Genomic DNA, 269 nt, shown 5'->3' with positions numbered 1-269 from the left:
TGAATGTTTGCTTGTTTATTTACTTATTCAAAGACGTACACACATATCTATATTCCAGGCTCTGCGCTAGGGATGCAGAGATGATGAAGATGCAGTTCCTGCCCTCAAGGTTTCAGAGTCTTGTGAGGGAGGAAGGCATACAAATAAACAGTTACAGCACAGTGTGAAGAACGCAGCAGTGGAACCCTGTCCAAAGTACAGAAGCTGCCTAGAACAGGATATGATTAATCCCAAGGGGAATGTAGAGTTGGATGAAGCCCAGTAGAGGA

At 44.2% G+C, this 269-nt stretch overlaps 1 protein-coding gene across 3 annotated transcripts in view, besides 2 other annotated features; it reads left to right on the top strand.

Moving 5' to 3' along the window:
* FIGN (fidgetin, microtubule severing factor) overlaps window positions 1-269 on the top strand; it is a 133398-nt gene that overhangs the window by 68061 nt on the left and 65068 nt on the right. The gene's annotated exons all lie outside the window — the stretch shown is intronic.
* Window positions 1-269: part of a silencer, noted in NCBI's record as "tiled region #10417; K562 Repressive non-DNase unmatched - State 24:Quies", that runs on past the window's edge. NCBI's record gives its function as "represses a minimal TATA promoter and a strong SV40 promoter by Sharpr-MPRA in K562 cells {active_cell/tissue: K562}" and the evidence as "EXISTENCE:reporter gene assay evidence [ECO:0000049][PMID:27701403]".
* Window positions 1-269: part of an enhancer, noted in NCBI's record as "tiled region #10417; HepG2 Activating DNase matched - State 5:Enh", that runs on past the window's edge. NCBI's record gives its function as "activates a minimal TATA promoter and a strong SV40 promoter by Sharpr-MPRA in HepG2 cells {active_cell/tissue: HepG2}" and the evidence as "EXISTENCE:reporter gene assay evidence [ECO:0000049][PMID:27701403]".

This window comes from Homo sapiens, chromosome 2 (genome assembly GCF_000001405.40).
Source record: "Homo sapiens chromosome 2, GRCh38.p14 Primary Assembly".
In the NCBI taxonomy this organism is placed as follows: Eukaryota; Metazoa; Chordata; class Mammalia; order Primates; family Hominidae; genus Homo; species Homo sapiens.
Note: the sequence above shows the minus strand (reverse complement) of the source record. Positions and strands in the feature narration are given on the sequence as shown.